The following is a 21,523-nucleotide window of genomic DNA, read 5'->3' on the forward strand; positions in this document are numbered from 1 at the left end:
AAGCAAAATTAATTTTGGTTCAGTTTAGCTTTTTTTCCTGATCCTTTAGAATTTCAACGTGCCTTCTTGAAAATTCTCCCTTTTTAGATAACCCACAAATTCATTTCTTTATATTTTCACTCCACTGGAAATGGAGGCTCAAGGAGGAGACAGGCAAAGCCGTCTTTCTTGGCCAACACTGCTCTCACCAGTCTATCATGGTCTTCTTTCAATGTCTGCTTTATTATAACCAGAGATGATAGAAGGAGGGTGGGATCACTGTCCCGAAGACTTGGGGGCGTATATTTTTAAAAACTTCTATGAGCTATGCCTCCTTAGCCTTCCCTCTCCACCCACATTCCTCAGGTTGAGGTTCCTGGGGCAGAGCTGGAAGGCCTAGTCTGTCTCATGCTCCTGCTGAGGAAGTCCAGCCCAGGAGAGGCCAGGTGCCCTGGCACTCCCAAGCAATTAAGGCCAGCTGGCATCATAGCCTTCCCATCCACCCCTACTCACTGACCCCGTCCCCCCGTCCCACCCACCGCAGTGGACAGCTGCCTGAATCCACTAATCTGGGGCTGGGTGGGTGTTTCCTGCATGTTTGAGATTTTAGGAGGAAATCAAAATAAAGAAACAAAGCCTTTGTTTTATTTCTGGACTCCCAACTGGGTATGGCTGGAGGGATGGAAAGCAGGGAACAGGAGGAGCAGGTCACTTGGCACTTCAACAAAATAACCATTCTAATAGAGCATTTAACAGGAACTTTTTCTATTTAGGGTTGGGGTGGGTAAATAGGAAAGACGGCAGGGCTGGGAGAGCCCCTTTGTGTGGAAGGAGAAGGTGGGGCCGCCCTTGCCCCAAGCGGGGCCTCTGGCAGTGCCTGGTGTTCAGGCAGGGAGGGGTCTGAGGCCACCCAGCCGGGCTGCAGAATTGGCAGCCTGGGGACTCAGGGACTTTCAGTCCTCCCTTCCTGAAGGAACCCTCTGCTCCAGTTCTGTCCCACTACTTGTCTGTGTGAATCTCCACCTCTATAGCCTCCTCTTCCATATCTGTAATGGGAGTATCCCAGCCACACTCTGGCCTTTCTTCTCTAGTCCAGTTATACTGGGTCAGGCTCTCACCTGACATGTGGAAATGAAGAGGTACATCCCCCAGTATTTCTTAATTCTTCCAAAGGATTTTCTCCTTGTAGAAATTCTCTGAGGGTTTCATTTATTTTCTTTAAAAATTGCCCAAGTATTGATGACAGCCCTCCCCATCTGCAGTATTTCTGAAGATTTCAGGGTATGGGCCATGCCCACTGGCCGCCTGGCCTCCACTCCACTTTGCCCCATGTGCATACAGTAAGGTTGGCTTCTTCATCTGCTAAGCCACTATTATTGCATGTAACAGGCATCCACCAAGGGCTTTTAAGAAAGGGAGTTGTCTGCAGCCCAGATCAGGGCAGAAGTTAAAAATGAATGTCAGACACCCTCCCCTTGCTTGCTCACACCCTTGGAGAATGTCTCTGTGGCTGTCTCCTCAAACCTAGTTTACTGCTATTTTCCAGGGACCAATTTTCCTGGATACTTTCCCCCAGACCTTCTGAAAACTCCAAATTTTCATTACTTTTGATTGCAGAACAAGGATAACAATCTGTCTTAGACTAGGCTGTGGGCTGCCCTTGTCAGATGTAAAGGGGTCTGGGCATGGTGGCTCACGCCTGTAATCCCAGCACTTTGGGAGGCTGAGGTGGGTGGATCACTTGAGGTCAGGAGTTCGAGACCAGCCTGGCCAACATGGTGAAACCCCATCTCTACTAAAAAAATACAAAAATTAGTGAGGCCTGGTGGCATGTTCCTGTAGTAACAGCTACTTGGAAGGCTGAGGCAGGAGAGTCGCTTGAATCCAGGAGGCAGAGTCTGCACTGAGCCAAGATTGTGCCATTGCACTCCAGCCTGGGCGACAGAACAAGACTCTCTCAAAAAAAAAAACAAAGATATAAAGGGGCCATTAAATAACTCATCTAAAAAAGAATTAGGCACTCTAGACCTTACCTTTACCTACAGTAAGAACCAGCAGAAGTGCTGGGATTATTAAGCTATCATTATTACTAGCCAGGTCAAATCAGTCCTCTCCTAATGACCAGGGCAAAGCCAGGTGTTATTTTTTCCCTTTCCTGTTAGAACATTTTGTAACATAAGGATTAGAGATGATGTAGATTGACAATATTTATTGAGTACCTTCTCTGTGCCAGATATGTGCTGGGCATTGGAGATACAGTGGAGAATAGAACAGAGGGTGGGCCCTGCCCACATGGAGGTGACGGTCTAGTGGGGAAGATGCATTACATGTTTACGTCTTGTAAACAACTAACTAGCAGTTAAGTGCCAGCATACAGGATGCTGTCAAGGCAGACAGCTGGGTGCTTTGGGAGACCCTGATAGTAATCTCATATAGTCTGGGGTGCAGTGGGGGTCAGAGAAGTATATTTAAGGTGCTTAGCATGTGGTCAGGGCTTAATAAACGGTCATTATAATGACCATCCCTGGCCACAGGGCCCAGCCTGGTTCCGCCTCCAGCTGGTGGCTGCTACCACCCACCAACAATAGTTTTACACAGAGAGGTTTTTCATTAGGCCAAGGTTATACAGCTAGCAGAGGGGCTTTGATTCATGACTTTTTATAAAAGTGCTGTATGTAGAAAGCAGAGGGGTGGGAAGCTTCCCTCGACCCCCCAGCCAATACTGACCTTTGGACAGGCCTTGCCTCGCAGGAATGGAGCAGCAAGCTGGTTACTGAGGAGAAAAAATGCAGCAGTCATTTAGGGCTTGGGGAGGGAGATGTGAAAAGTAGCCTTCTGCTGAGTGGGCTTAAAACCCTGGGATTGGAAGGGTCCCTGAGAAGCCGTCACACCCACCTCCAGCCTGGTTCACCACTCCAAAGCTAGGTGGCCAGTCCTTCTTCCTCCGCATCTGCTTCACAGACCTTTGCAGAGGAAAATCTCACACTCATTGCCATGCCTGCCTCGTTTTCAGGAAGTTTCCCTTTTATTTGGCTTCAGTCCGTCTCTCTGCAGTCTGGTTACTCTTTAAAAATGAAGGTTGAATTGCCTCTCCCCACCTCAAGGAAGAACCTAGACCCTATGTCTTTCTTATTTTTGGTCAAGCATAAACATTTTCACATTCTTCATTAATGGTGTCTAACATCTTAAATATAAATAATGAAAACACAGCAAAGCAGCAGCCTTTTTTGAATGTGCCTTTTTGGCCTCCACCTCTCTGGGCTCTGACATACTCCTGGGGTGGGCTGTGTGCCTGTCCCTGAAGAATGCCAGGCTGGCCCATGTCCTGCAGGCCAAGTAACCCCTGCTGCTGCTCTCTTCAGTGAGATCATTTCCTTTGATCTCACACCTCCTTGCACCAAAGCCAGGCCAAGCCAAGGCAGTGCGAAGAGTTGTCTGCCTTAGAACGGCCGTGCCACTCAGATGTGTGTGTGCTCAAGAAGGATGGGTACAGAGTGTTGATTTATTTGGGTTACACAATGTGTAAAACTTTTTCATTGGTGGCCAGTATTTAAAATAATAAAATAGCCAGAAATCTGAGTTTTTGCATAGACTCAGATTGCTGGCTATTCTTTAAAAATTTAGACTATCTGGCAAGCTCATTGCAGATATTATGTTGCAGCAGTCAGCTGGTGCGGGGTGTCAGTAATCTCCTGTTTGCACAGGCCCCACTGCTCCCTGTTGCCTGTACCTATCCCCTTCTATCACTTATTGACACAGCCTCTGCCGGCACGTGCACGTGACTTTGGGATGTCCGTTTTGTTCTTGATTCCCTCTTGCTGCTACTGCAGGGCAAAGCAGTTGAGATGGGGGGATCAGTCAGAAAGCATCCGTCTCTCAGGCAGGGGCCTGTGAGATGCAGAGGGATGCCTGGCCCTGGGATCCGGGCCTTCCGTTCCCTCTCTGTTGCCACCCTGCTCTTCTCCTGGGCTTACCAGATTGAACTGGCGGAACACCGTGATTCCATGAGATGAGCAGTTCTGGGCTGGGACAGCTAAGGAGTTAAGGGACAACCTTAGCTGTACTCTGGGGGCTGGGTGTGGCATCCCCAGCTCAGAAGGCAGGGCCAGTCAGGGGGCCATGCCCTGGGTGCTGGTGGGGTCTCAGTGCTTTGGGAATTTGGACAGCAAGGAAGGACCCCTCATCGCCACTCCTCCTGCTGGGCTGGTGCCCACGGGTGTCCAGTGGGACTCCTCACATGGTATGTCCTTCGTGAGGCCTGCCACTGCAGTCCTCTAGGTCCTGTGTGGCCCATGGCATAGTGCCCACATCACCTCTGTCCTACTGTCTACCCAAGCCAGACTCCCAGCCAGCTGCCAGTATCACTCCTGCATTTGGAAATGCAGACAGCAGACACGTTGGAGCGTCTCTGAGCAGAAAGCTGTGCCAGGGCTCTGGGATGCCCAGAGAAAAAGAAGACAAGGCCTGGCCCTTTGTCCACTGTCCCACTAGCAGAGGAATGTGACTGTGAAGTAACACCCAGCTCCTAGATTTGAGGGCAGATGAAGAGGGGCATGCCGAGCTTTCAGGTCAGAGATATGGCCTTGGACAAACCACAGAGCCTCTCTGACCTTCACGGTTCCTGAAGGGGCTAAACAATGCCTCTTGGTGAAGCGTCTTGAGTCATCACATGGAATAATGGCTGCGGAGCACTTGCGCTGCCACCTGCCACCTGGTTGGCATTCCATAGATGGAAGCAAGGTGGCTCAGTGGAAGGAGACCTTGGGGGATAGAAGAGGGCCTTAGAGGAAGGAATCGTTTCTGGGGGATAGGACCTGACACTTGGGTACCATCCCTGTCCTTGAGGACACCAGACCAGGAATCAGCAGAGCAGAGGCCATGCGAGGGGAAGGGGGCACTTGGGCAGCTCAAGAAAGGCCTAGAATGTTGTGGTCAGCGGGGAGAGCTTCATGGATGGCATTCCAGGAGACTCTGTGCTTGGGTTAGTTGGGGAGTGATAATGCTGGAGTGGTGGGTGGGACAATGCTAGTGGTGGTTGCTCAGGCCGGGGGCAGACATGGGCCACAGTGGTGGACAGCCTTGCTAGGCCTTGGCCTGGGATGTGGGTAAAGGGCTGTTTGCACTGCCAAGGGAGAAAAAGGAAGAGAATTTGGGGCAGAGAGGTGGGCAAAGGGGCCCACCCTTGGGCAGGTGAGGGAGGTGCTGGCTGAATCCAGTTTGTGCAGGGTTGAGCCTGAGCAGCGGAGCAGAACAGTGAGGAGGTGCGGGGCTCTGTGAGCAGAGGGCAAAGCGGAGTCAGAGCAGGGCTGGGAGGACAGCAGCCTGCCAGGCTCTGGGGAGGCCAAGGGCGCTCAGTCTGGGGAACCCCAGAGTGTGCAGAGGCTGGCCTTCCCTGGTTGAGTGACCACCAGCATGACGTTCCCAATTGCACGCAGATTCCTATGGAAGGCTGCAGGAGTCCTCCTCTTTCACTGCGGGTGAGACTGCCCCAGTGCTAGGAAAATATTAATAGACCCCCAGGGACTGAGAACAAGGATTGAAAAATAAAACCACTTCCTACTCTCTTTCCTCAGCTGCCACTCCAAGAAGTTGTGAGCTTGATGCAGCTCTGCCTTCACAGAGCCCACGCCCTGCCCCTCATCCCTGGACTGAGTTCTTTCCCACCCTCCCGGTTGTTGGTTGCTGGGCAGGGGGCACTGTGAGGGGCTGGGGTAGGACCCCAGAGGCCAGGTGGCCAAGTAGCAGGCATTCCTGTGAGCCAGGGATGCCAGCAGGGAATATTGCTCTGAAGGTTCTGTGGCCTCTTAGACACTGAGGCCCTTACCAACTCCTCGGTTCTGAGAGCCGCTTAGACCCACCAGGCTCAGTGGACAAGCTTGGGGGTGAGTGGGGCAGTGTTTTCATTTTGCAACTTGCCAGGCCTGGGTGCTGAATCCCAGCTTCTCTTTTCACTAGCCTGTGCCCTTGGTAGAATGCCTCTCTCCCCTTGGTAAAATGGGGATAATAACCCTCCCCCACAACTTTCTGCCTCAGGCCTTTGTGGCTGAACCTGGGTTACCTGTTCCTCCGTGACCCTATTCCCATCCCCTTTCCCATCCCCTTCCCCTCCTCTGAGATTCTGGAGCACTTCGAGTTTGTCCTATGTAATTCATCCACTCTGTCCTGGGCTTTTTCTGCTGGTTAACCTCAGTGTGGTCATCAAAAAGAGTTGCAGGGGCCCTGTTTGGTTAGGCAGCCATCTAGCAAGCCTACATTGTACTCCCGTATGGACTTGGGGCTAGGGCAGGGTCCGGGGGCCTCCAGCACATGTGAGGCCCATCACACCCAACGCTCTCCCCTGCCTAGCCCTGCAGCCTTGGGCACTTGTTTTTTCATCATGCAGTGCTTATTAAGCAGCCACTGTGTGGCAGGCACCGTGCGTGGTATAGGGATACAAAGATGAAGATCCCTTGTTTCCAGGGAGCCAACAGTAATCCCTTCCCCTGCCACTCTTACCCCCGACACCCATCGCCCCTGCCATGCACACATACACACTCCACATTCCAGTCACATCATGTTGCTCGCAGTACCGAGTGTCTCCTTGGCTTTTCATGCCTCCATGCATTACACTTTTGTCGCTTCTATTCTTTACCTGGGACATGCTTGTCCTTACTGTTTTTTGTTTTTTGTGTTTTTTTTTGAGACGGAGTCTTGCTCTGTTGCCCAGGCTTGAGTGCAGTGGCATGATCTCGGCCCACAGCAACCTCCGCCTCCCCAGTTCAAGTGATTCTTCCGCCTCCCCAGTTCAAGTGATTCTCCTCCCTCAGCCTCTTGAGTAGCTGGGATTACAGGTGCCTGCCACCATGCCTGGCTAATTTTTGTATTTTTATTAGAGACAAGGTTTCATCATCTTGGCCAGGCTGGTCTCGAACACCTGACCTCGTGATTCACCCACCTCGGCCTTCCAAAGTGCTGGGATTACAGGCATGAGCCACCATGCCTGACCGTCCTTACTGTTTACGTGGCTAATATCTACTTGGCCTTTAAGACCCCGTTCTGTGTCACTTCTACCAGGAAGCCTTCCGCAGCACCCCCAGGCTGGGTGAGATGCCTCCCACTCCTGTGCTCCTGCATTACTTACCCAGTGTACCATAATCCTCTGCCTGCCTCCCCCACAAAATACACACTGTGAGCCCCACAGGCTGGGGCTGGGCTCAGGCTCATTTATTTTGGTATCTCTAGTTCCCAGGACCAAGCACACAGGAGGTGCTCTGGGAGCATTGACTGGATGTGTGTGATCCCATGGAGCCTGAGCATGTGTGTGTCTTGAGAGGAGCATGTGTGTGTCTTGAGAGGAGGGTCAGTCCAACACTGACTCCTCACCCAGTTTACTCCTCCTCATTTTTCTCTGGGCTCAGGTAAAACAGGGACCTTTCTCATGTCATGTGACCTGTTAGAGGATTTACCCCCCCCCCCCCCCAAACCACAGGGTACCCAGAGGGTGGCTATGTTTTGTGATGGAGAGCTCTTCTGGATTTAGAAACCAGAGGGAGAAACTTTGTTTCATGCTGAACTTGCTGGCAGTTTGATATCTTCCACATTCTCTTTGGTGAACAAGCAACTCCTGAATACTGGAGAAATGCAAAAGAAGGCATCTGAGGAGCCGTCTTGAGGAGCTTACCTTTCATCCACGTTCATTCAGCAAGCCTTTGAGGGCTTGCTTTCCTGGGACATTGCTGTAGTGATTCGGTGGCCAGCTGAGACATGCCTGCTGCCCTCCAAGGCATAGTCGGGGAGCTGAGCCCCCACACACATATCGGCCTGCTAGCCTTCCGAGAAGGGAGAGGTAGGAGGCTGAGCTGTGTTGAACTGTCACCTGTGGAACCTGCCAGTTTGCAGGGCGCTCAAGGAACTCAGGAAAGGCTTTGGAGAAGCAGGAGGAGGGACTTGGGATGGACTTCAAAGAAGGATGTTGATGATGGTAACAACTTGATTTTTGTTGAACAGTCACTATGTGCCAGGTACTGGGCCAAGCAAATAAATGCAGCTTTTCACAGCCACCATGAGGCAGATTCTGCCACTGTCCCTACTTTTACAGAAAAGAAAACCAAAGTACAGAAAGTAACTTGCCTAGGGTTGCAGGCTGTCTGCATAGCTCAAGCTCTTTGGCAAGGATTTCCAGTTGAGGGGCCAGTCCTGAGCTGGGCAGGGAACAGCTCGAGTGTAGGACCACAGGGAAATGGGCTGAGGCTGGGGCACGGACCCATATAGGGGATAGGGTCCCAAACAGAGGTGCTAGAAAATAAGGGTTTCACAGCAGCTTGGTGCCCCCAGCTTCCTCACTGGTCCTCAGGGCGGAGGGCTACCTGCTGGTACCAGATCTATGCCCTGGTCAGCAAGCTGTCCCAGCCTGGATCTGGGGTGCTGGGGTGGGAAGTGTTTATTTTTGGTAACTAGCATTTGCCCTGGTTGCCCCTCAAGCTCTGACCTGCCCAGCTGTTTCACCCACATGGGCAGCAGTCTGACCTTGGGGGTGTCTTCTACTCTGACACCATCTCCCAGCTCACTGCTGACCTCTTTCCAGCACTCCTGGATCAGCTGCCTCTGCCCTGGCCTGACTGTACACACATACTCACCAGCCCCTAGCCAGCAGAGGATGCCTAGCACTACAGGCTGGCAGTGGCTCTGGAACCACACTGTGTTGTTTCAGATCCCGACACTGCCTCTTTCTAGTTTGGTGACCTTCAAAAAGTTATTTTACTACTCTGTGTCTCAGTTTCTTCAACTGTAAAATGGGGATAATCGGAATCTACCTTCTAGGGTTGTTGTGAGAATTAAAATATTCCAACAGCATCTGACACATTGTTTACCTTAAATGTTCCTATTGCTTTTAACGTGATCACTATTGAATTATAATTGTCATGGCAGGTGGTTTCTGCATACCTACTCTGAGACTCAGTGCTGGGTCGCAGATGGCTCCGCCCTGAGTCCTGTTTGGGAGGTGCCCGAATACTGATGGGAAAGACCCAGTTATTGACAGTTGCCATATGAGGAAGCATGTGGTACTTAGGGGTCACGAGTAAGCCCAACAACAGTGTCCCTCCCTGACTTACTTCAACCTTGGCCTTTGCTTGGATCTCTGGACTTCTGTCTGATCATTTCTGCTCTGCTGACAGCAGTCCAGGTGTGATCCTGGCAGAGGAGTTGAGATTAGAAGAAAAGCACGGATTGGTAGATTAACAGAAGACTTGGGTAATAGAGATCTCCAGACATCACCAGGCAGGCTACCCCTAAAGGTCCTGAGCCGTTCCTATGGAAAAGGATGGCCACTAAGTGGGATATTTTGGAGGGAACCAGAAAGGTAGTAGTTAGATCTGGGGCAGCAAACAGATTTTCTCTCTGGAGCAGTCACTGTGTTCTGCTGCCAAGAGTACTGTGTTGACAAGGAAGGGGACCATGATCCATCAGTGTTGTCTGCCGTGGCTCTGGGAATGGGGGGGAGCAGCACCCATGCCACCTACTTGCCCTTGAGACTTGATGTTTATGGCATGAAACCACATACATGGTTGGGTGGGTGGTTAGGGCTTAATAACGGAGTGAGCTGAAAAGCACTGGTGGCTTTCTAGAGTAGTTGAGAGGCCCAATGACAGTGCCACACTTGGCTTAGCAAAGATATGAAACAAGGGGCTGGAGCAAAGTCTCGGGGAGCGGAGAGTGAAGCCTTAAGGGATGCCAAGTGGCCTAGACCCCTCTGGGGTCACATGCCATTAACACACAGCTTGCAGGTCAGCGCTCTGGTGAAGCTGCCCATTTCTGGGAATTGTGCAGAAGGGAAGGGCAGCTCCTGGAATGCAGAGCCATTTCCTCCACATGGGTTGGGTCACTCTCCCCAGCGTGTCCTCATCCCCCTGGGTTGGGCACACCCAGACATCATAGAGATGAGATTAGCTTCCCAGGTCTAATTCAGCTCAACGTGAATGAAAGTCCATTCACTTTCCTAAGAGCTCCATTAATTATGAATGTGTCCTCCCTTCTAGCCTGATTTACCTAAAATACTTGCAATTCAATTGGTGGGGTTAAGGGGACTCTTTAAAATAATTAGTATAGAAATACAGAAGCAAAAAGCAGTAAATACCAAACCTTCAATAAAGTTGGCAGCATCTTTGGGAGAGCCTCTGGATTGGCCCTGGGCCAGCCTCTGAGAATCTGTGGTCCTAAGGTCAGGGCCAAGGGAAGCAGCAACAATGATGAAGAATGCCCTGTAGGATAGTGAATCGTGAAGACGCTACCCTAAGAAAAGCCATGTGATGCAGCAAAATGATTTGGCAAAAGAATTGGAGGCAGTGTGGCATGACAGTTCTAACATGACCCTCGGCATCTAACCAGTCCACAGCAGTTGTCCACTAAGGGTGGGCGTTGTTGCTGCTATGCAGCTCCTTCTGGGCACCATTTTTCCTGGCCAGTACATAGGACACTGCTTTGGAAGTGATGCTGGGTGGAGTGGGGTGCATGGAGAGGCTAGGGGACCTATGGACCCCTTGGCAACATCTGTAGCTGAAGCCATTCGTTTAACATGTGCTGCTCACTTAGAACAATGGGTGCAGTGGTTTTAGGCTATTGTTTTGGGAAACAAGCTCTGTAGAAGCCCTAGAACCTGGAAGCCTGAGGAGAAGTGGCAAATTTCGTGAGGGGTAAGACCCACTGAGCCCTGCCGTTTTGCCATTTTGTGGGGGCTGTTGGGGCCTGCTGCTGTCCTATGCAGTGTGGATGCCCTTCCCTAGGGCTGTGGATGGGGCAAGGAAATGGTTTAAATCACCGAAGTCTACCAGGTTGAAGGGAAAGCAGGGGCCCAACTACTTTGTCGATGCAAATATGCCCTTGCTGAGGGGCCCTCCAAGTTTTTCTCACTGAGGCCTTACACCTTCCTGGGGCCTTGTTCTCCTGTTTTATAGATGGGGAAACTGGGCACCAGGAAGTTAAGAAACTTGCCCCAGGTCACACAGGGAGTCTGTATTGGAGGCCACAGTGGAACTCCGGCTGCCTGGCTGTGGAGTTGAGGCTGTCCCTGACCTCCCAAGCTGTCCCACTGAGAACCGTTGGGCTTTTACAAAAGACTATTCCTGGGAGGTCTTAGACACACCCATGCTAACTTTGAAGACTGCTGGGTGAAAAGGTTATACTGGGGTGATCAGTCCACCCAGCCACCCACTTCCTAGGGGTATGAGCCAGCCCCTTTCAGAAGGATGGGTGTGACCCCCTGCTTCTTAGCACAAGGGAGGCCCGTGTGGGTAGAAGGCCGCACTGGGAAAGTGACGAGGGCAGTGTGAGTAGAGACTGAGCTTCCCATGTGTTGGGCTCTGCCTGGCCCCGTGAGAGGCAAAGGAATGAGAGGATGTGGCTCTTGTCCTCGTGGAGCTTACAATCTGTTTGACAAGGTAAATCTGGCATTCAGGGAAACAACTTCAAACCATGCAAGAAGGTTCTACCTATGGGGAAAGAAAGGGAGCAAGAGGCAGACAACAGCCAAAAGAGCTTATTTTTCCATTTACAGATGCCTGAGGTTTTTGTACACATGTTATTAAAATTATTGAGGAAGTGATATTGCCTTTTAGGCAGAAGTTTCCAGTATGAACAACGGGTTTGGGTTGCCATGCAGCCTGTGGCCTGGGCGGGGCCCTGGGAGCAGTGGTTGCCATGGGAACCAGTTCAGCCGCCCCCACGGCCAAGTGGCTGCTGTTCCCAAAGTTGGTTTCTGCGTGGATGGGGCTGCCTGGAACCTCAGAGCCATTTCCCATGGAAACAATGCTCTAAATGATGGGTGATGTTCCCACACAGGCCTATTTTGTCTGGCTGTTAACAGAGCAGAGATGGTGGTGAGGCTTCTCATGCTGAGAGGAGGCTGGGAATGAGAGAGAGTGTGTGTGTGTGTGAGTGTGTATGTGTGAGTGTGTATATGTGTGTGTGTGCTCCCTCTTCTTGGGAGTAAAGTAAACAAGGTGAGAAAGTGAGCATTTGGGCATCTTCTCAGAGCTCAGCATATCTCACACATTTTATTTCATGCTTAGAGCAATCCTACAAAGTATGAGTCTCCAACTAACCCACTTTACTAATAAGATACTGAGGCCATAGAAGGTAATTTGCCCAAGGTCACTCAACTGGTCAGTAGGAGGAGTATTCAGCACAGAAAATAGTGGGGAAACTTTAAGGAGAACCCCAAGTCTACCTTATACCACCTTCCCACCTCAAAGGGTCACATCCATCATCCTCAAAAGTGAAGACCTAACATCCTAGAATGATCTCCGAGGTGCTTTTTAGTTGAGAAGGCTGGAAAGGAGAGGGGTGTTGTGAATGTCAGCAGTTTGCTCCTTACCCACCAACCAACCAACTTTTCATTCTGCGGTGACTTTTCGTCGTAGCCTGTGAGTGGTTTTAAAAAAATCTTTCTCTGTACCGCATGAGACCAGCTTATTTTGTAGGAGTGTGGTTCATATCTCTTGGCGTCTTGACCTCCCCATCTGCAAAGACATCATTTGATCAGGGTTTTGGGGGGGGCCGGAGAAACATGCCTATCAAGATGAGATAGCACCTTTAGGAATTGGGGGGTTCTCTGGACTCATTCTCCAGCCTTGGAAACCCCTTCTTTGTTTCTAGCTCACACTTGATTCCAAGGGTCCTGTCTGTGCCATTAGTCTCATCTCTTAGTAGGAGAGAGACAGTCCCAAGCCCTGGCTGAGAGAGTTGTCCCTTAGCTCTCTCCATGAGGAAGCCAGCTCTGTGGTGTGTAGGTTGTCTGACCATTGTTCAGAAATGCGTGTTGAACCTCTAGTTCATTCAGTAAGTGTCTGCCCTGTGCCAATGCTGTGCCAGGCTCTGGGAGTACAGAGAAGAACAAGATGCTGTTCCTGCCCTTTTGTGCACAGTAAACACTTAGAAAATTCTAGGCATCATTGTGGCGTCTGTGGCAGGAACTTCAGGGCTCAAAGCGCAGGTGGAGGCAGTGCCTGGTGCTGACCCATGAGGAGGTTTGTGCTCTCCTGGGGGTCTTAGGTGTGCACAGAGGCTGCAGTGTGACCACAGGACACATTGGGGGACCACAAACCTGGTTGGGGGTGACAGTAGAGTATAAGGGGCTGCGGCACGGGTGTGGCTGGAGAGGTCAGCAGTGGCAGCCAGCGACAGGCATTGAATGTCCTGTGAGGGGGCCTGGACTTTCCTCCTCAGCATTGTGGGGCACTGAAAGGGTTTTCACAAGGGGCCCAGTCTGATGTTTGTGTGAAATGAGTAGTCTAGCCCTGTTCCATTGTGTCCTAATTAGAAGGAAACCCCAAGTGGGAAGGGAACCCCGGCTTGGCTCCCTGTGGTCTCTGAGGGTTCAACCTCTGAGAGCAGGGTGCTGTCAAAAGGAGGGGGCCCCCACTGGCCATTTCCTGCCAGCTGCCTTGGCAAGCAGAGGGCATTTTTTAAGGAGTCCCCAAGTGATTTGGCTGTGGGTGGTCTGAGTGCCGACTCAAAGGTTCATTCATGTACTCCAGCATATTTACTAGTGTATTTCTTATCTTGTTTTCTTTTGAGAAGAAAATAAAGACAAACGGTTTTCCTTTTCAATACCTTCCCACCCACTTAGTATTTTTTAGTTATGTCGCTGCCAGCAGAGAATGGGAGCTTTAAGAACAGCCAAACACCGACCGGGAACGGTGGCTCATGCCTGTAATCCCAGCACTTTGGGAGGCCAAGGCAGGCAGGTCACAAGGTCAGGAGAGCAAAATCATCCTGGCCAACATGGTGAAACCTGTCTCTATTGAAAATACAAAAAAATTAGCCAGGCATGGTGGTGGGCGCCTGTAATCCCAGCTACTCGGGAGGCTAAGGCAGGAGAATCTCTTGAACTTGGGAGGCGGAGGCTGCAGTGAGCTGAGACCACGCTACTGCACTCCCGTCTGGGTGACAGTAGCACCCAAAAACAAAACAAAAAGCCAAACACCAGCAAACACCTTTCACCCATAGCCCAGCGTCATTGCCCAGGACAGAGCAGCAGTTGCAGAGGGGCAGTGAGGAGTGAACCCCACGCTCTGCAGCTCTGAGAGGCAAAGGAGAGAGGCCACTGGGCCACCCCTCCCTCCCCATTTCTGTCACCCTGCAACTCCCCTCCGCCCTCTCTCCTTGGCCTGCCTTCACCGTCATGGATTTGGCCATGGAAGAGCTCAGTTAAGTGAAGCCTCAGCCCGTCCCGTGTTGTAGGGAGATGCTGGAACCAGATTCCGGGGCCACAGCTGGAACCTGGTCCTATACTGCCCCAAAGGAGCTGAAATCCCCACTCGAATGAGAGGAAATCAAACATTTTCAGGTGGCTTGAACATTTTATTTTCCTGGGAGCATTTTAATAGTGTTAAACTTTTCCAGTACACAAATATAATGCATGCTTGTTGTAGAAAATTGAAACATTAAGAAAATGAAAATGCCCTGAAATCTGCCTTAGAGACAACCATCTGCTAAAGTTCTTAATGCCTGGATCCACACCTGGCATTAGGATCAGGTGTACTTACTAGCTGTTTTGCAGCCTGTCTTTTTTTCATACATAACAACACACTTTTTCTAGGTTAGTGAATATCTTCCTTTTAAATGACTGCATAGTACTCCATTATATGGATAAACTTTAACTTTTCCCCCCAACATTAAGTTATTTCTATTTTCCCCCATTCTTAACATCTTTCTTCACTTCTCTGATTATCTCCTTAGAATAAATTCTCACATGGGGTAGAGCTGCAGGAGAGGGTATGAATATATTTACGCAAGTGTATTTTCAGTATAGCCTAGGCAGATTTGCACTTTCTCTGCAGTGTAGCAAAGCTTGTACTTCTCCGACACTTTGGGGAAGTCCTAAATGTCAACATCAGGCTTCAGTAACTACAAAGGGTTCTGCAATGACTCTCGACTGTAGCCCCATGCAAATCAGTGTGGCCACATAACCCACATTTGTGTCCAGCCCCCTTTCTGTCAAAATCTAGAACTGAAGACTATTTTAGAGCTGAAACTAATTATAAAAGTAATCTAATCCAGCCCTTTAAACTCATAGATAAGGAAACTATGGCTCAGAGAGATCAGTGGCCTTCCCAAGTAGCGGCGGAGCACACAGGGCACCCAGTTCTTTGTCCTCCCTGCCACACTGCCACCCTCCTCTCTGTGAGACCATCGGTTTCCCAGTCACACGTACACCATGCTTTTCCCATCCCAATTTGCACAGGGATTCTTTCTTTTCTTCTACACAGCCGTAGGATTAAGCTTTCCCTCCCTCGATTTTTGTGCTACCCAGGAATGCCCTACCAGGAGGTGGTATTGCTTCTTCCTGGCAGGGTCCACAGTTAGTTAGCAGTTTAGGTTCCTGGCTACAACCTCCAAATTGTTCTTTAGGGGATCCCCCTAGCTGCACCTGTGTTTAACATTTGGTGCTGTCAGCCTCCTTCTGGAAACTCTTGGCTTCCATCATGACCACAGATCCTGGTTTCCCTCCTTTTCTTCTGAGTGCCTCCAGGAGGCTCCCTCCTGCCTCTCCTCCTTGTCACTTTGTGACACTGTTTACAAAGGTCACTCTTCACTTCTGTTAAGGCCCAATTATTCTTTAGAATCCTGGTCCCACTTCCAGCTGCCTCCTGGTCACCTTAGCTCAGGGTTTCTCAACCTCAGCACTATTGACATTTTAGGATGGATAATTCTTCACTGGGGGGGACTGCCCTGCGCATTGTACAATCCCTGGTCTGTGCTGAACAGATGCCAGTGGTACCCACTCCATTTTGACAACAAAAAAAAATATCTCTAGACATTGCAAATATCCCTGGGGAGCAAAATTCCCCTGACTGAGAACCACTGCCTTAGCTGGCCTCAGCAGCATCAAAACAAAACTTCGACCTGCTCCTACCCCCTCCTCCCCAAATAAAATGATTCCCGCATGACTTTGTGTATAATACAGGGCAAGAAGCAGAGAGAAAGGAGCCACAATCATAGAATTCTGAAACTTGGAAGGGGCCTCAGAGTCCCAGAGCTCAGGTGTGCTAAGCTATCATGGCCCCCTTTCTAAGCTTAGACACAGCTTCAAATCCTTCTCAGCATAGCAGCCCAGTTAATAAGAGGGGATGTGAAAGATGAACCTCCATGCCAGCCCTGCTCAGACCACTGCCCTCGTGTTAACCTGTACAAGTAGAGTTTAGTGGCCAAAAAGCTTATTTGACATGGCTTTTGGCTATACTTGCTAAACAAGACCAGTGGTACTGTGTCCTCAACACCAGGCCTGGCACATAATTGGTGTTGAATAAATGATGGTTGAATAAATCACTTTAACAGTGGACTGTCTCTGGCTAGTGAGACCAGGGGTAATGCTTTTATTTTCTTTTGCATTTCTTCATTTTCAAACCTCTTTATAATTGAGAGTATTACTTTATAAAGGAGGAAAACATATGAATATTTTCCCCTAAGTTAAAAAAGCCCTCTGTCTCATTCCACATGTCTTGCTGCCGCAGGTCTGACCTACGAGAAACATGGCAACCAGCGCCGTCCCCAGTGACAACCTCCCCACATACAAGCTGGTGGTGGTGGGGGATGGGGGTGTGGGCAAAAGTGCCCTCACCATCCAGTTTTTCCAGAAGATCTTTGTGCCTGACTATGACCCCACCATTGAAGACTCCTACCTGAAACATACGGAGATTGACAATCAATGGGCCATCTTGGACGGTGAGACCTGGGTGGCAGCCCTGCATTGGGTGGGATAGTAGATGGGGAGGATCAGGGAAATTTGACAGGTTTCAGTGGGGCAAGATGGTTTCCTTAATGTTGCTGTTATGGGATGGTTGATATAAAGCCGTGTGTCGTTTTCAGGGTGAATTCTCAACAGGGAAGGCCTGCGTAGAGGGCTTGCAAGATTTCGTGGAAACCAAAATGTGCATTCAGCAAAGAGGGGAGGCTAGAATCATGCCAACTCAGTGATGTCATGTGTGTTTTTTCTTGCTGATCAGAATCTCTGATTAACAGTTATGGATGTCTTTAGCTAATAAAAAAGGGAAAAGCAAGTTGTTTCTTAATGAGCATAGTTTACTTGGTACTTGTCCTTTGAGGGGAATCTCTTGCATCTGACATTGTGTTTCTAGCTGAGTGTGAATTAGTCTGGATTACTAGTTCTAAGTGTGGCAGCCAGGCCAGCAGTAGCCGCAGCATCAGGAAACTAATTAGAAATGCACATCCTCAGGCCCATACTGATTTGGAAATTCTGAGGGTGGGCCCAACACCCTGTGTTTTAACACACCCTCGAGGAGATGCTTGAAATCAGGGAGTATTAAATCTTCAACTTCGTTATTTTTCAAAGTTGTTTTGACTGGTCTAGGTCCTAAGGTATTTCTATGTGAGTTTTAGCATCAGTTAAATTCTAAAATTCTAGATTTTGATTGGGATTGTGTTGAAACTGTAGATCTGTTTGAGGAGAGTTGATATTTTAACAATGTTGAGGCTTCCAACCCATGAACACAGTATCTCTTTCCATTTATTTATTTATTTATTTATTTATTTGTTTATTTGGGTCTTCTTTCTCTTGTCAGTTTTATTTGTAGGTTTTTTTGTTTGTTTGTTTGTTTTTGGGGGGACGGAGTCTCGCTCTGTCACCAGGTTGGTGGAGTGCAGTGGTGCAGTCTCAGCTCACCGCAACCTCCGCCTCTCGGGTTCAAGCAAATCTCTTGCCTCAGCCTCCCAAGTAGCTGGGATTACAGGCACGCACCACCACACCTAGCTAAATTTTTTTTGTATTTTTAGTAGAGACGGGGTTTCACCATGTTGGCCAGGATGGTCTCGATCTCCGGACCTCGTGATCCGCCTGCCTCAGCCTCAGCCTCTCAAACTGCTGGGATTACAGGCATGAACCACCACGCCTGGCTTATTTGTAGTTTTCAGTGCATAGGTCTTTTACATGTTTTGTCAGTTTTATACCTGTATCTGTATTGATGCTACCGTAAATTATTATTTTTGGTTTTTTATTTCAATTTTCAGTTGTTTGTTGCTAGTATATATAAAAACAATAGGTTTCTGTATATTAATCTTGTAACCTACAACTTTGCTAAACTCAGTTACTAGTTCTAGTATCTTTTTTGTAGATTCTGCTGGATTTTTCTGAATAGACCATAGTGACTGCAAGTAAAGACAGTTTTACTTCTTCTTTTCCAATCTGGATGGCTCTTATTTCTTTTTCTTGCCTTATCTCATTGATTAAAATCTCTGGCATCCTGTTGAAAAGAAGTAACAAGAACAGACATCCTTGTCTTGTTCTTGATCTTAAGGGGTAAGTGTTTGGTCTTTAGCATTAAGTATGATGTTAGTTGCAGGCCTTTTATGGATGGCCTTTATCAGGTCATGGAAGTTCCTTTCTATTTCTAGTTTGCTGAGAGTTTTTATCAGGCATGGATGTTGGATTTTGTCCAGTGCTTTTTCTGTGTCTACTGAGATAACCAAATGGTTTTCCTTTTTTAGTTTGTTAATGTGGTAAATTACATTGATTGTTTTGTTTTGTTTTTGTGACAGAGTCTTGCACTGTCACCCAGGCTGGAGCACAGTGGCATGATCTTAGCTCACTGCAACCACAAAATACTGGGCTCAAGAGATCTTCTTGCCTCAGCTTCCCCAGTAGCTAGGACTGTAGGCACACACCACTGTGCCCGGCTAATATTTTATTTTTTTGTGAAGATTGGGGGGAATCTCCCATTGTCGCCCAGGCTGGTCTTGAACTCTTGGCTTCAAGCAATCCTTCCATTTCAGCCTCCCAAAGTGCTGGGATTACAGGTGTGAGCCACCATCCCTGGTCCTTGATTTTTTTAATATTAAACCAAAATTGCATCCCTGGAATAAACCCCACTTGGTCATGATGTATTATCCTTTAATATTGTTGGCTTTGATTTGCTAAACTTTTGTTTACAATTCTTATGTCTGTGTTCTTGTGAAATATTGGTCTATAGTTTTCTTGTAATGTCTGTGTCTAATTTTGGTATCAGAGTAATGTTGGCCTCATAGAACGAGTTTTATTCAATTTTCTGGAAGAGTTTGAGTTAAATTGGTATTTCTTCCCTAACTGTTTAGTAGAATTCACAAACAAGGCCATCTGGCCCTGGAGTTTTCTTTGTGGGAAGATGTTTTTGTTTTTGTTTTGAGACAGGGTCTCGCTCTGTTACCCAGGCTGGAGTGCAGTGGCATGATCAAGGCTCACCACAGCCTAGACCTTCTGGGCTGAAGCAGTCCTCCCACATATTTTGTCTGTCTGTTGGTTGTTTCAGCTGAGAACGTAAATCTGGTCCCTGTCACTCCATCTTGGCCAGAAGCAGAACCAAATCATGACTTCAAAAAAATACAACTTTGTGGCTGGGCGCTGTGGCTTACAAGGCCTGTAAATCCCAACACTTTGGGAGGCTGAGGTGGGCAGATTGCTTGAGCTCAGGAGTTTGAGACTTGCCTGGGCAACGTGGTGAAACCCCATCTCAACTAAAAATATAAAAATTAGCCTCGGGTGGCTGAGGTGGGAGAATCACTTGAGCTCAGGAGGCAAAGATTGCAGTGAGCCGAGACTGCGCCACCTCACTCCAGCCTGGGCAACAGAGTGAGACTCCCTCTCAAAAAAACAAAACAAAACAAAAAAACTTTGTAAATATGTTTTAAAAGCACTGAATTATATACTTTTAAAGTATTAATATTATGGCATGTAGATTGTATCTCAATTTTAAAAAGCACCGTCCTCCAAGGGTTTGTCTGCAGCCCTGGGACTTTGAACAATTTGAACAGGTACCAAGCACCTTCCCATCTTGGGACTTTGCATTTTGTCTTCTCTCTGCCTAGAACATTGTTCCTGCAGAAACACTGATTTCATTTAGGTCTCAGCTCAAATGTCACTTTATCTAAGAGGTCTTCCCTGACCAAACCATTGACACTAGTATCCACCCCACCCCAGTCATTTCTATGCCCAACTCTGTTCTTCTTTATTCTGCCTTTTATGGTTGGACATATTTTATCTTTGTTTGTGTTTTTGTCTCTGCTGACTAAAATATAAATGTCTGAGAGCAGGGACTTTATTTACTGACTGCATTATTCCTAGCATCTAGAATACTGCTTGGCTCATAGTAGCTCCCCAGTAAACATTTGTGGAATGACCAAATGAAAGAATAAACCTTGAACAATATATGTGTAGTGAAAGGTTTGATGTGCTAGCTATATTATTTTTTTCTAACTCACATTACAATAATAAGTATATATAACTATTAAAATTAAAACTTACATCTGTGCACTTTCTAAAATCATTTCATGCATCACCTATTGGAATATATGGCACACTTTGGGATATACTGAGTTAAATAAATGTAAACAAGTTTCTTCACTGCAGGACTTACAAGAACTTTTAACATGCAAACACATATTAGAGGTGTAGTGATAGGATACATTGTCCTTAGAGCTTCCCACAGGGGTCATTTTTTGCACGTGATTCTGAACTATGTTCCATAGAGAACATTCTGAAACACATTGCATAATGCATGTAAGAAAGTAACACCATGCCTGGTACATCGTTGGAACTCAATCAGTATTTCTCTCTACAGCCATATAAACTTCTCTGACTTTTTCCTGAGTACCTTTGGATGTTAAATTGGTTTCTGAGGAAAAATGTTTTCCTCAAGATTGAATGTTTTCCTCAACATTTATAGCAGGAGCAGCAGGGAGAGGGGAAACATGGCCGCAGCATTATATTAGAAGTGTGCATTTGCAAAGCCTGTGTTCTGAATGCCTGGGCTCTCCATGGCATTACTTTAGAAGAATGAGTTTGTTAAGCTTCTAATTCTGCCACCAGAGTCAGGCCCGATTTAGGGCATTGCCCACCCAGGCCTTCCTCGGGAATAGACACCAGATTCCCAGATTAGATGCTTCTCCACTCCATTAGATCTGCTATTAAGAAAAGGAAGACTTGGCCGGGTGCGGTGGCTCACGCCTGTAATCCCACCACTTTGTGAGGCCGAGGTGGGTGGATCACGAGGTCAGGAGTTTGAGACCAGCCTGACCAACATAGTGAAACCCCGCTTCTACTAAAAATACAAAAAAAATTAGCCAGGCCTGGTGGCGCCTGTCATCTCAGCTACTCGGGAGCCTGAGGCAGGAGAATTGCCTGAACCCAGGAGGCGGAGGTTGCAGTGAGTAACTCTGAACCTTTCTGGGGCTGAACTTTTCTGGAGTGGTCTGCACCCCTCAGATGGCCAGGACTTCCCTGGGCATCTGGATCCCAGGGGTCCTGCTCCCCTGAGGCCATGCCATCTTCGGGGAGGTGCTAAGCCTGGAGGTGCCCTCAGTTGCCCTGTACCCCACTGAACTCCAGGGGATCTCAACTCTGCAGTTTCTCTTCTTCCAAACTCAGAAAGAATAAAAACGTGGCAGCACGATGATGAGGAGAAGGAAGAGAATGATAATTTTGATGACGGGGTATTGAATGGGCAGAAACTGTGTGGAAGGCCCGTGCTAAGCACATTGCATTTGCTGTCTTTGAATCCTTACAAATGCTATCGTGGTA

The 21,523-nt window shown here is 48.4% G+C and overlaps 1 protein-coding gene across 14 annotated transcripts in view, besides 2 other annotated features; it reads left to right on the forward strand.

Annotated features, from left to right (window-relative positions):
* MRAS (muscle RAS oncogene homolog) overlaps positions 1–21,523 on the forward strand; it is a 57,888-nt gene that overhangs the window by 8,749 nt on the left and 27,616 nt on the right. For 11 of the 14 annotated variants that reach the window (NM_012219.4, XM_047447696.1, XM_047447697.1 and 8 more), the window contains one exon: positions 16,470–16,680. The exons of the other annotated variants lie outside the window; for them this stretch is intronic. In NM_012219.4, the coding sequence (NP_036351.3) occupies positions 16,488–16,680 (193 nt within the window). In that variant the 5' untranslated portion in view covers positions 16,470–16,487. The remainder of the gene's footprint in view (positions 1–16,469; positions 16,681–21,523) is intronic. 14 annotated transcript variants of the gene reach the window in all.
* Positions 3,694–4,528: an enhancer, noted in NCBI's record as "H3K4me1 hESC enhancer chr3:138078932-138079766 (GRCh37/hg19 assembly coordinates)". NCBI's record gives its function as "activates a minimal SCP1, AML or CMV promoter by ChIP-STARR-seq in naive H9 embryonic stem cells {active_cell/tissue: H9 hESC(naive)}" and the evidence as "EXISTENCE:reporter gene assay evidence [ECO:0000049][PMID:30033119]".
* Positions 19,177–19,377: a silencer, noted in NCBI's record as "peak4844 fragment used in MPRA reporter construct". NCBI's record gives its function as "represses an SCP1 promoter by STARR-seq MPRAs in K562 erythroleukemia cells {active_cell/tissue: K562}" and the evidence as "EXISTENCE:reporter gene assay evidence [ECO:0000049][PMID:32103011]".

The sequence above is a fragment of the Homo sapiens genome, chromosome 3 (genome assembly GCF_000001405.40).
Source record: "Homo sapiens chromosome 3, GRCh38.p14 Primary Assembly".
NCBI classification, from domain to species: Eukaryota; Metazoa; Chordata; class Mammalia; order Primates; family Hominidae; genus Homo; species Homo sapiens.